The following is a 13,483-nucleotide window of genomic DNA, read 5'->3' as shown; positions in this document are numbered from 1 at the left end:
GCTTCAGAAAAAAAGTAGAGGCAAAGACACAGTGTGCTGGTATTTTAACTCTCTCCAAATGCCATGTTTTAAATAAACTAAGCATAGCAATCCAACCATACAGACCGATTTAGATTTGGGTTTCTTCATCACAACAATAGTTGGCACCGACATGCTGCCTGTCCTCCAAAAACCTAAAAACACTTTACACATTTTCCATTCACACTACCAACTGCCATAGAGCAGCTCTGTCATATACAGAATTCTGCCGCTGGGCAACACACCTTCTCATGCCATAGAAGGATAAAGATGCCAGATGCTTCCTGCAGACACTGGGATACCTTCATCCCTACTGAAGCCAGACCTACCTAAGTGATCTTAGTCCAGTACTTATGATACAGCTGTTGCAAGTTTCTGGAGAAGTTCCCTGAGAACCTTTTTCAAACTCTAATGGAATCACAAGTGGCATAATAATGATGATGAACACGGAAGTTCTGTAGGAAAGCTGGATACTCAGTCATGGTCATTGTAACATGATAGTGACAGGTACTGGGTAAGACTGCATAGAGAATTTCCATTATAACATGGGCATGCTTGTAGACATACGCTGATAGATCAAGGAAGGCACATAAAATTATAGCTGTTCCATTATGTAACTTTTAAAACATGACACAAAAATGCTGGGGAAGTCACAACAGAGACATGAATCTAGCATGCATCAAGCAGAAGTGAAAGATACTCCTTAAACAAAGATCTCAAGCCAACTATGAGCCAAGAAGCAAGTGTTAGTTAGGGCCTTCAGTCCTGAAGGTCACAGAGCCCTTCTAACTCTAAAAATAAAAGAACAATAGTTCCCAGACAAATCACTCAAATTAATTTATTCCTTTGAGGATCAATCTTTTTAGTCATTTCTTGTGACAAAGGTAAAATTCAGTAGCAAAGAAAAGGTTACACGGTACTAATTTGTTGAAGTGGAAAAATAAGTCATAGAAATGTGAAATGCTGTTTTCCAGCCATGCTGTTTCTGATACAGTTGAGACTAAAACCAGGAATTCTGTCTCTACCCCATAATCTTTTCACCATTTAGTTTACTAACCACATTAGCAATGAACAAAAGGAGTGGTGGTGGGGACCGCAAAATCCCCACCTCTAAACCCATGATGTTGATATGTAAGATTCCCTTTGAGTTGCCTCTAAGGGGCATTTTAGCTTCATATCAGCCATTGAGCACAAGGTAGAAGAAGGTAAGAAGCTCCCCTGCCTGTGATACCTCAGCTGGTATCATCTTTACAGTTTGCTGTTTCTAGAAAAAGTATTCCCATCCTGCATGTCCTGCTACTTGTAAAACATTGGATTGCTTTCTGCTGTCTGTATTAGACCTTGTAGTAGGAACATTTTCCTTAAAAAATCCCTTGGCCAATTGGAATTGCATGAAAACAGAAAAAAAAGATTCTGTTCCAGGATAGTAATCATAACCATAGTCTTCTAGAATCACTCATTAATGATCTTTGCCTCCAGAGTTCTAGTATGAACAAATTAGGGCAGAGAAGGCAAAATGAGTCAAACATCCTCTAGAGCAAAAAGGGAGGCAATGGTAGTCAGAAAATATGAATTGATGATTTGGTATGTGGCCCCTCTGACAAGCACACACAATAAGGTGACTCCTAACTGAGAATGTCATCCCGCCTGTACATTCAATATTTATGAATTAGGAAGGACAGAGAAAATGCACAGGCATTTGAGGTAGATTGGAGGATTTTTCAGTAAATAGTCATTTCCTTCCCATCCTCACCTCCATGAGAAGAGAATATTTTCCTATTCCATTGCTATTGAGCTTTGGCTAGAGGAATGTTAAGAAATATGACGTGAGTAGACATTTGGAATGTGCTTACTTAATTGGGCTTCTCCTCTGTGCTACTGCCTTCTGCCATAAGAGTCACATATAACCTACTGGTCCAAAACGAAAGAAGGACACATGGAGCACACCTGAATCCGAGCTGGAGCTGGAGCCAAGCACAGCTAAGTTAAGCCTAGTCAGCCAACTCCCAACCAAACCATCAACACATGATCAAGAAGTAAATGCCTGCTGTTGTATGTTGCATGCCACTGAGATTTTGCCATTAACTATTAATCAGCAATAGCTAACACAATGGTATCAAATAGACTTTTGTTTAAATTGAAGCCCTGCCATTCAAGTATTTATCATATACTCTGGGCCAGGCATTGTTCTAGGTAGCAGGGCTACATCAGTGGACAAAACCAGCAAAAATATCTGCTGTCTCGGCAGAGATCACACTCTGGAGGGAAAGACTGAAAATAAACAAATAAGGAACGTATACTGAAAAAAAAAACTTGAAGCCTTGCAATTTATTAGCTCTGTGATACTGTTCAATTGCCTGCCCTTTCTGAGTCCCAGTTTCCTCAAATGAAAAATCAGGATAATAAGGATTTTATAGGCTTATTGTGAGGATTAAATAACTTAATGGATAGAAAGCATGCTAACATTCCTGGAAATATTTGTTATTATTGTTATGTTGTCATTATTTTCCCAAATTTAAATTTCCTTTTTTGGCAATTCTTTATCTCTGAAGTAACAGGTAAACACTCATTAAAATAGAGATCCAGATTTACACTCCTCTATGTGGAACAACCAAATTGACACAAACGAGAAAACAAGAGAACAGATCAAGTGTGCAGTCTCACGAGCCCTTCATCTTTCTGAGGATAAAATGATATATAGTCTCAATCCCATCTGTGCAATTAATACCGTCTGTTTGCCCACAAAAGAAAATTTACATAAAGCAAATAAATTTCTTCTCACTGATTTGAATTCAAAGTAAAAATTTATATTTTACTTACCTTTGGTAGAGAGACTTAGAATACAGACTGGATACAGTCAAAGAGTGAAAAACAAGATTGTAAATAACAAAAGACAACAAGTTTGTCTTCTTCCATACAGCACAATGTTACAAGCCTATGAGAAAGCTCCTAGAATTTGAATTTCTGAGGAGAGTTTCTTCGTGAAAAGTTTTAGCTGGGCACAGTGGCTCATGCCTGTAATCTCAGCACTTTGGGAGGCCACAGTGAGTGGACTGCTTGAGCCCAGAAGTTTGAGACCAGCCTGGACAACATAGTGAGACCAATATCTACAAAAAATACAAAAATTAGGTGAGCATGGTGGCACAATATTGTAGTCCCAGCTACTGAGGAGGCTGAGGTGGGAGGATCACTTGAGCCCAGGGATGTCGAGGCTTCAGTGAGTCATGATTGTGCCACTGCACTCCAGCCTGAGCAACAGAATGAGATCCTTTCTCAAAAAAAAAAAAAAAAAAAAAAGACAGAAAGAAAAGTTTTAAATTGTGTTTCCATGTAAGGTAATAATACAGCCCACCTGGTAATACTTCAGATAATTTCATATTCTTTCTGTGGTGGTAAGAAAGAGGCACAGGCCAGGATGCTATCAGCTATTTGTCACTCATGATAGAAAATACAAAACCTGACAGAAAAGAAAAGTCAGAGTAAAATGGGCTCCTCTGTGAAGCAGCCAAGGGTTAAGGGGCTTGTTTCCTTGGACAGCGTCCTGATAAGGAGAAACTGACTCGAGTTCCCATACCCCAAGGAATGCCTTCAAATGCCAGATATGTTAATACAATGCATCGTTCACTGCAGAAATTCTCCTTTTCAAACCTTCCTGGAAAATGTCTTTGGAATTCTCTGCCTCACCTTTCTAAATTATCTCCATTCTTTCTACTGTTCTATAGCAGCACAATAGCCCAGGATGCTTTCCAGTTGCCAAGGGGACCACCCAAACCTGTTTTCTCTCCATGGAACTCCAGCTTCAGATTCTCCTCATGAATTTTTTTCTTCACCAATACTGGGCACTACTGCCATCAAACTCCACGAAGCTTTATTATATGATAGGCTAGCTTTAGTTGATACAAATTCAGAAGAAGCTAATGACTGATAATGCCTGTCATTATCATAGAGCTGTGGAGATAATTCACCTACCTCTGCACGTATGATGTTGAGTCAGTTATATTACCTAAGCTTCGGTTTCATTGTTTGTAAAACAAGGATGGTGATAACATTATATTATTAAAAGATTTGTTCTGAAAATCGGTAGAATAATTGCACATGCAAAAGTGATGGTTTTTCTTCTTTGCAATGTTGTCTACATGAGTATCATCCTAAACTTCAAGACACCAATTGGGGTAGGGATGCCACTGGAAATCTCACAAGACAAGATGCCTCAAAAACAGATCTATTGAGAAAGGGAGAGAGATGAGATAAGGTGAATTTTCTAAATTTCTTCAGCATTTCAAGAATCAAGTCTGAAAACCCTGAATTGCTTTTTTCTCTGCCTTTTTTGCATTTATTTTCTTTAAATTTCTCCCCTATTTAGGGTAGTTGGCAGGTATTATTAGTACTGAGTCTCCTGTACATTAAATTGCTTTTTCCATGAATAAAATAATACTGGCTTAATGACCTTTTACTATTACCTCCCGTTTATAAATGAGGGAACTGCAGTATAAAACAGTAGAGAAAGTTGCTCATGGTCATCAAAGTTGAACCTCAGCTGGGTGCGATTGCTCTCGTCTATAATCCCAGTACTTTGGGAGGCTGAGATGGGAAGATTGCTTGAGTCCAGAAGTTTGAGACTAGTCTGGGCAAAAATGATGAAACCCCATCTCTACAACAAAAAATACAAAAATTAGCCAGGCATGGTGGCACGCACCTGTAGTCCTACCTACTCCGGAGGCTGAGGTGGGAAGATGGCCTGAGCCCAGGAGGCAGAGGCTGCAGTGAGCCGAGATCATGCCATTGCACTCCAGTCTGGATGTTAGAGTAAAACCTCATCTCAAAAAAAAAACAAAAAACAAAAAACAAAACTTGAACCTAAATTGTCTTGACTTCAAAGTTTATGCTCAAAACCACTCTGGCGTACGGCTTTTAGAGAAGAATCCCAAGGCTTAGTTACACCCTGGAGCTTCTGAATCATGGGAGGCAATAGAGGTAAGGACACAAATGAAAAAAAGAGGAGCCAGCCATTTCTGGAGAATGAGAGAGGAACAGGCAAGAGAGAGATATAAAGGAATGTTAGACTAGATGAGGGAGACACCAACAGCAGGTGTTCTAATGCATGCGTGGGGCTCATGTGCAATGTGGCTGCTTTCCTGGTGAGACAGAGCAGGTCTTGAGGTCAGTTTCCCCAAGTTGCCATTGGTCTTATATGGTGAGAGTAGGATGCTGGCTGTAAAGCTGGGCCAGCTAGTGAGCAACACAGGGGCCTGGCAAAGTCAAGAGAAGGAACCTGTGAGATGTAATGCAAAGTAGACAAAATTTTGGCCCAGTGACCTCAGCCCCCTTGTGTTATGCTTGTAAATATCTTACATTACATGATCAAGGGGATTTTACAGATGTGATTAAGGTTACCAATCGGTGGCCTTTAAAAAAGGGAAATTATCCCGAATTATCTGGGTAGAACCAATGTAATCACATGACCCCTTAAAAAGCAGATCTTTTGGCCAGGCACGGTGGCTTACGCCTGTAATCCCAGCACTTTGGGAGACCGAGCTGGGAGGATCACAAGGTCAGGAGTTCGAGACCAGCCTGGCCAACATGTTGAAACCCCATCTCTACTAAAGATACAAAAAAATTAGCTAGGTGTGGTGGTGGCCACCTGTGATCCCAGCTACTCGGGAGGCTGAGGCAGGAGAATTGTTTGAACCCGGTAGGCAGAGGTTGCAGTGAGCCGAGATTATGCCACTGCGCTCCAGCCTGGGTGACAGGGAGAGACTCCATCTCAAAACAAAACAAAACAAAACAAAAATCAGATCTTTCTCCTGGCTATCGGTGGAAGAGAACATGATAGAGATACAGCAGAAGAGGATGTAAGACGGGTAGGGCTAAGGGAAAAGGCAGAGGGATTTGAATTGAGAAAAACTTAACCTAGTTGCTAGAGGGGCCACATAAAAAGCATGGAAAAGAATGTGGGTGGCCTCTGGGAGCTGAATGAGTTCTAGCTGAAAGTCAGCAAAGAAATGGAGGTCTCAGTTCCACAACCACCTGGAACTGAATTCAGTCACCAGCCTAAATGAGGTGAGAAGTGGATTCTTCCCCAGAGCCTCCAGTAAGACACAGCCCTATCAATACCTTGATTTCAGCCTTGAGAGAGCCAAAGAAGGAGACCCAGCCATGTCTGCCTGAACTTCTGACCTTCAAAAACTAAGTGGTAATACAATGGTAAGTTACCACATACTAAGTTTGTGGTAACTTTTTTACTGCAGCAATAGAAAACAAATACAAATAGTTCTCAGATTTGTGTGTCCATGACAATCACCTAGAGGCCATGCTAACACACAAATTCCGGGACCCACCCCAAGAGTTTCTGATTGATTAGGTCTAGGGTGGGTTGGATAATTTTCATTTGTGACAAATTTCCAGAGGCTGCTGCTGCTGCTGGTTCAGGAACGACACTTTAAGAACCACTGTTGTAATCAGGAACCATCACCACACATGCCAGTGGGGGAGTAGTTATATGGGATATCTCTGCTCAGACCAGATGACCAGTAAGAACAATACCTCTTTATTTGGGGACCATAAAACTAAGTCTTCCAAATATGTTATCTGAACTATGATAGTGGTTCTAATTTTCTGTTAATTTTTTTTTTGAGACGGAGCCTTGCTCTGTTGCCAGGCTGGAGTGAAGCGGCACGATCTAGGCTCACTGCAACCCCCGCCTCCCCAGTTCAAGCGATTCTCCTGCCTCAGCCTCCCGAGTAGCTTGGACTACAGGCGTGTGCCACCATGCCCAGCTAATTTTTGTATTTTTAGTAGAGGCAGGGTTTCACTGTGTTGGCCAGGATGGTCTCAATCTCTTGACCTTGTGATCTGCCTGCCTTGGCCTCCCCAAGTGCTGGGATTACAGGCATAGCCACCGTGCCCGGCCTGTTAATTTTTTTTTTAAAGTACCTCTAGGATGTGGATACCCTATTGTAAGAGGGGCTATTTTCTGGCGCTGAAGAGAGTATCTGTGTGTATGTATCACAGATAGGAGCAGAAGTTGAGGGAAAAAAAAAAAACAGGAGAAATCTTTTGTATTATTATCTACATAGCCCTAGAGAGTAAAAGGCATCCTGGCTCCCACCAGAATACACTCTGCCATGACAACACCATGTCCAAATGGAGGTGGGAGGAAGATGGCATTTGTCACTCTTCCTGGTGCTACCATGTGTATGAAAATTGCCTGGTCTGGTGCCCAAACTATGGGAAAGCCCTGCTTCTTATCTTCCTCCATTAACTCTGCTCAATCTAAGCCCATTTCCCCTAACTTTGACTATAACGAGGTAGTGTATCACCCATCACTATTCTTTACACAATAACCATTCAAAGCCCTGGCTCAGTGAACTGAGAGGGGATCCAAGATGTAAGCTGCTGCTGTAATTACAGGATCTGTCACCCCTTTTATTCAAAATTGCAGTGATATGCAATGTCTAAGTAGTTTTTGCTATTTGCAGTGAAGGCAGGGTGGGGTGCGGGTATCTCCGCTATTGCTAAAGTGTAGTTAAGTACTTTCCTCAAATATTACAATATTTGCAAGACTTCTATTTTTGGTAAAGCCACACCTTTTAACAAAACACTCAAAGAAGTGCTGCTGAACAAAAATATCATTGTAATAATTTGAAAATATTACTGTAATAATACTCAATGTCAAAGCATAAATGCATATTAAAGAATGCTTTAATAAACTTATCAAACTAGTATACCCTTTTCAGAATCTCCTTTTTCTTCTACCCAAATAAACAAAATGTTACCACAAATATATATACAAAGAAAGCTCCAAAGCCTCAAGTCTTTCAAGGTGATAAGTTAAGACTAATAATACATGGCCTAGAGTTTGCTGAGTAAAAAGAAATAACCATGTCCATATCTCACTGAAATGGGTTTTTATACTTACAATAGCACACTCATAAAATTTAATACTCCGTGCCAATTTTATAGAAATTCACCACTCCTGGAGTATGCTAATAGAAAGCCAGTAATTTGAAATTGAAAATAAAATTTAGTATCTGTCAAATTCATTTCCTTGCTTTTCACTGCATTCACAGTCTTATCATTTTAATTCATTTTGGAAACATATACAGACTCAGTCTACTCCTAAATTATGGGTTGTTTTCCACTTGAGTATCAACCTATGTGATATTCAGGTAAGTAGTGCTTACTCTATATGCCATGTGAGGTGTCCAGTGTCCCACCAGGGACCCAAATTGTCTAAATGAAATTTCTTGACCAAAGGTTAACATTGTTCAACTTGCTTATTATCCTTCAGCAACACCGCAATTCAGATTTGGACAGTAGATTCCAACAACTGAAAATCAGAACTGTTAGTATGCCAGGTAACATATCTTGAGGAATTATCTTTACAGTCCAAAAGTAACTTTAAATTATTTAATAGGAACATAGCTTCTTTGGCAATTAATTTATTCTTTGTTCTTCTGCCTATAAATTAGAATTTCTTGTGCAATAACTATATATCTCAATTCTTCACCAGAATCTCAACATTTCATATTTAGATTATAGCAAACTAGCCACCAAACTGCCTTCCTTTAGTCTCACTGTAAAATTTAGCCCAAACTAATTATCCTAAACATTGCTTTTCTAGAAAACCAAAACAACTGCTTAATTCTCTTTTCCAACAAGCCCCAACTTCTCTTTGTAACCAGGCAGATATTCCACTTTCTGACCCTGCTCTATTGGATCTTATTTCTTTAACAAAAGTCTTCTACTCCGATCAGGGTATAACATTACAACACATGGTTCATGCCTCTTCCTAAAGTTTCTACCTGGGACACATTCCTTCTCATCCTCCAATATCCAAATACTGACATCCTTAACCTGCACCTTCATAATCCCTGAATCAAGACTGTATTTACAGTCAGTAACAGAAGATCTTAACATTTTTCTTAACTGGCTCATTAAGAAATTGACATTAGTTTGACATAACCCACCAGGTTATAAACTCATTAAGACATAAATTCAGTTTTTCATTTATTTTCTGTCATCTGCAGCATATAGTAGAGAGTTAGGCCCTTCCTAAATGTTGTTGATTAAATGTGAACATATGAAATATCCAAATATTTATTTGTACTTTTCAAGTATCAATTCTTTATCTTTTCAATTGTGGGTCTATTTCCTAGAGAATAATAGCTTTTAAAATATCTTTCAGAAATATTTTTAGACATATTCTTAGACATATTCTTTGTTCAGTACTTCCCCAGACCCTGAAAACACATGACATCTTGGTATTATTTAGAGAACGTAATTTATACTTCAGGTTTACTTTTATTTATGTATTTCAGAAAAATGTATAGTACATATTAGAACAGGATACTAGCTTATTTAACATGTGTTAAATTGTACCCCATTTTTGTTCAGGAAAAAGTAACTTTAAGACTAGTGATATTTGATTCAGTTCTGATTTCCACATGAGTAACTTTGTGCAAAGTATAGTTCAAGCTGTGCAGGTTAGCCCACAATGCCTCCTAGGAAGTCTTCCTTCTCACTGACTCAAATTCCATTTTGTCTTCAAGACCCTCTCAGGTCCCAACCTCTTTAGGAAGTCTCCCTGTTTACACAAGCCCTAGTGACTTTTCTTTTCTCTGAATTCCACTGGTATTTAGAACGACTTTAAGTCAATTCTAATTCAAATACATGATTTGAATACAAGTTGCCTGTGTTGTTATCTATTTGATTTACCTAAGTTTTGTGCCTTCTAATGCATTCAGGAACAGAGATCTTCACTTTCACAATGATTAGCAGTGTTGGGCGTTACTCAAAATGCTATGAGTACTCATGGGCTTGATTCTTTGCCACGTTCAAGTTTCTCTCTCTCTCTCTTCACACACACACACACACACACACACACACAATTATAGTTAAAATAAAATACAAATGTTCTGATGCAGGAAGGAGATTTTTTACTGAATGCACCACTTTAGCTGCTACAGACCTGGAAAAATAAGTGTTCTTCAGAATGCCTTCGATATTCTCTCTTTAAAATGTAGCTTTTATTTTGTTACTAGAGTCATTTGAGTTATACTAAAACTAATCCTTTTGAACCCAACCCAAATTTCCTACAATAGTTACCACAATATAATTTGAATCCCATTCAACAAGGCATTGAAAACCCTCAAATTATAACCAAGTCATAAAAGTTAATTTTTAAAGTAATTTTCATATTAAGATATCTTTACTTAAAAGTTAGACAACCAATTTTAAACGAAAAAAAAACTTTTAATGAGGACTTATGTCCAGAATGCATTAGAAACTCAAATTTAATTACAGTGTTTTCAAATAATTTATATAAATAAATTTTACTGTTAATGCAAGAATCTAATGCTTCTCAATTATTTCCTTGAAAGCCTTTGATATTCTAGCCAAAAAGTGCAATCCCATAATGCATTGTTAAATAAAAGTTTTCTGTCTCTTCCTTCATTCAGTTATCCATCCATCATTCATTCAATGCCTATATACTAACTACCCATTGTGTGCAAGCTCCAGTTAGGTGATGTGGTAAACATTAAAGTGAATTAGACATGCTTAATATTGATTAGAGAGATGAGCTTTGTTCTGACTCATCAGATTGTAAAAGCAGGAACCATTCACCAAGAGGGCAGCCCTCACAGAGTGAGCTCTGCTGGAGATGGGCATCTCTGGGACCATTAAATCATTTCATTTCAACTTGGCATTTAGATCAGGCAGTACCCAGGTAACCAATGGCAGCTCCGAATTTTGAATGCCTTGATGGAGCCATATTAAGTAGTTTGTGCAACAGAGTAATGGGAAAATAATCAATGATCTTTTGAATTGCTGCCAGAAAAAATGCAGGAAACAAATTAACCGAGGCTATGAAAAGGCATCCAAGTAACTCTAGGATGGAGAGTCAAGGAGACAAAGTAATCATGATATAAAGAAAGAAATGCAGATATTTAAGAGCTATTTTCAACAGTTAAGTGGTTATAAAAATACTTAATTAGTACCTAAGGACTTGTATTTTTAAAGCAAGCAAGCTCTAGTGAATTATTATATTTTATTTTAAAAGTCGAAGTTAAATCTACACATGTGCTGGTGAGTTAAAAAGGAATTAAGTAGCAGAAACTCATAGGGAAATTATTTAAGCCTAATAGACCTGCCTCATGCAGTTTCCTGTGTCATAGACTGGCTGATTCACTGGATCTAAAGTAAACAGGTACTGCTTTGCATCCAGTGGCAGCTACAGTAAGTGGGAAATGATTCTCCTGCATTTAATTAGCCTTGCCCCTTTCAATTGAATTATGAGTCTTGAAAGGTCGTAACACATTACAGCAATTATATTTGCCTAGAAGTCTTTCACAGTGAGGACTGACATTTCAGCACGAGTTGTGTTCAGCATATATACTCCTTAGTAAATCATCTTATTAAGCTTTTGATACAGAAAATCATATGTAAAAAAGAGAAACAATGACCTAGCTTTCCTTCTGGTCATCTGTGGGATTTAATTTTGTATTTATGAGCCAAAAAATACCTCAGGTAATATGCTTCTGTAAATATAAAAAAATGAATCTACATGGCTTTAGGAAATGCAAATGAGGCCTGTTAATTTTGTACATCTCAAGATAGTATAATCCTTTCCATTAATTTCATGATATTTACATTTCAAAACAACAATGATTCCACTGAACACTACAGGTCATTGGCCGAAGTTTATTATAATTAGCAATAGTTTCATGTTGCTATCATCAAGTCCTGGTATGCTGGAGTGAATGGGAGTCCTTGGTCAATCACTGAGAGTAACAACATGTGTATCAGACAGTCATGGAGGAAGGCACTAACACATGCTGAGCACGCTGTCTCAGCAGTTACTGTTCAGGCACTTGACCTATGTTACCTTATGCTACATTCACACTGCTGTCAGGTCAATAGTGATGGTATCCCAATTTTACCCATAAGAGAACTAAAGCTTGCTTTTCCAAGGTTAATGGAATTCAACCAAAGTTTGTTCCAAATCTGTTTTTTTCCAAGATAAAATTCAACTTCCTGAAATGTGTTCAATATGTTATTTCACGGGTGGTAAGTCTGGTGGGGCAGAACAGGCTAAGAAAATACACAACTTTAAGAAACTTCACAGAAATATGTGGATAATAAATCCTTAAGGTATTGTTTAAGATAACTGAGTGTTTAGGGGCCATTTTTGACCTTTCAGTTTGTCAGAGAAGACTAGACCTTTCTAGCATGCATCTCTCGATACCACTCTGAAGATAAAAGTGAACAGATAATGGATCTAATCCAATATGGAAGGTCTTTGTTTCCTGAAAGTTCAAAAAACCATCAAATAGCTCAATACATGTGGGCATCAGCCATAATCATTCTAAGGTGACCAGAATCACCTCAGGTGACACATCTACAAATGTATGAAACTATCTGTTTCTACCCTTAACTCCTTCCCAATTGCCTTATTAGAAGATGGGGCTTGGTTCTTCTTTCCTGCATCCCATCCCTTCCTGCCTCCTGACTGAGGCCTCACTCCATCAACTGTACTCTCTCTTCTGTATCCTCAATTTCACCCCTTTTCTGGCTCTTTCCAGGCAGTGGAAAGTATTGTCCAATTAAAAAAGTAAAATACAAAATAAAAAATATATATATCCTTCACCATCCTACTCCTCACTTGACATTCTATACTTCCCTTCTCCTTCACAGCCTAGCTTCTTGAAAAGGTAGTCTATAATGCCTGTTCCACTTCCTCACTACCTACTCATTCCCCATCCCACAACAATCTGGCTTCTGCCCTCACCATTCCACTGAAATTAGCCTTGCAAAATTACAAATGATCTTCTAGTTACTTAATTCAATGGACATCATGTGATTTCCCAGCTTATATACTAAAATTAGAAAGATGTGGAGAAGATTATCATGGTCTCGGGGAAGAATGACAAGCAAATTTATGCAGCATCCAATATTTTTATAGTATGAACTCATTTTGTTATATATAGACATATATCTGGATATAGAGAATATATTTGCATATAGAAAAAGTCTGGAAAGATATGCATCAAAATTTTAACAGTAGTTATGCTGGGTGGTGGGATTTAGGGTGATTCTTAAATTATTCAAAATTATTCAAAATTATATATATTTTTCACCTTATACATTTATATATATTCTAGTTACATAATGATCACACATTCCTTATCTAAATAAAAATCAATAAGTAAATCATTTCAACATACCCAGGGTCCTCTTTAAAAATCTTATTTCATCACACAGAAATATTTGGCAATGTTGTTGTTTCTTTTGTTTCAAGAATAGAATACTATACTCTCCTGGTCTTCTTGTACCCTCTCAACATCTTATTCTTAGTCGTCTTTGTACCCTCTTCTTCTAGACCCATGCCCTTCATGGTTCTGCTTTGGACTCCATCACTGTGTCTCATCTCTGTCTGCTCTAGTGCCCGTGTGGTCTCATTCAT

General features: G+C 38.4%; 1 protein-coding gene, 1 non-coding gene and 1 pseudogene across 12 annotated transcripts in view; 2 read left to right on the top strand and 1 right to left on the bottom strand.

Annotated features, from left to right (window-relative positions):
- Window positions 1-13,483, bottom strand: part of CTNNA2 (catenin alpha 2) — a 1,463,404-nt gene that overhangs the window by 998,941 nt on the left and 450,980 nt on the right. Inside the window, exon 2 of one of the 11 annotated variants that reach the window (XM_024452715.2) lies at window positions 3,988-4,240. The exons of the other annotated variants lie outside the window; for them this stretch is intronic. The gene's annotated coding sequence lies outside the window, so the exon portion shown is untranslated. The remainder of the gene's footprint in view (window positions 1-3,987; window positions 4,241-13,483) is intronic. 11 annotated transcript variants of the gene reach the window in all.
- On the top strand, window positions 481-546 carry MIR4264 (microRNA 4264). The gene has a single exon (NR_036231.1). It is a non-coding gene; the product is annotated as a microRNA 4264 (primary transcript).
- On the top strand, window positions 12,877-12,978 carry RNU6-561P (RNA, U6 small nuclear 561, pseudogene; annotated as a pseudogene).

This window comes from Homo sapiens, chromosome 2 (assembly GCF_000001405.40).
Source record: "Homo sapiens chromosome 2, GRCh38.p14 Primary Assembly".
NCBI lineage: Eukaryota > Metazoa > Chordata > Mammalia > Primates > Hominidae > Homo > Homo sapiens.
The sequence above is the reverse complement of the archived record's forward strand: the minus strand, read 5'-3'. Positions and strand labels throughout refer to the sequence as shown.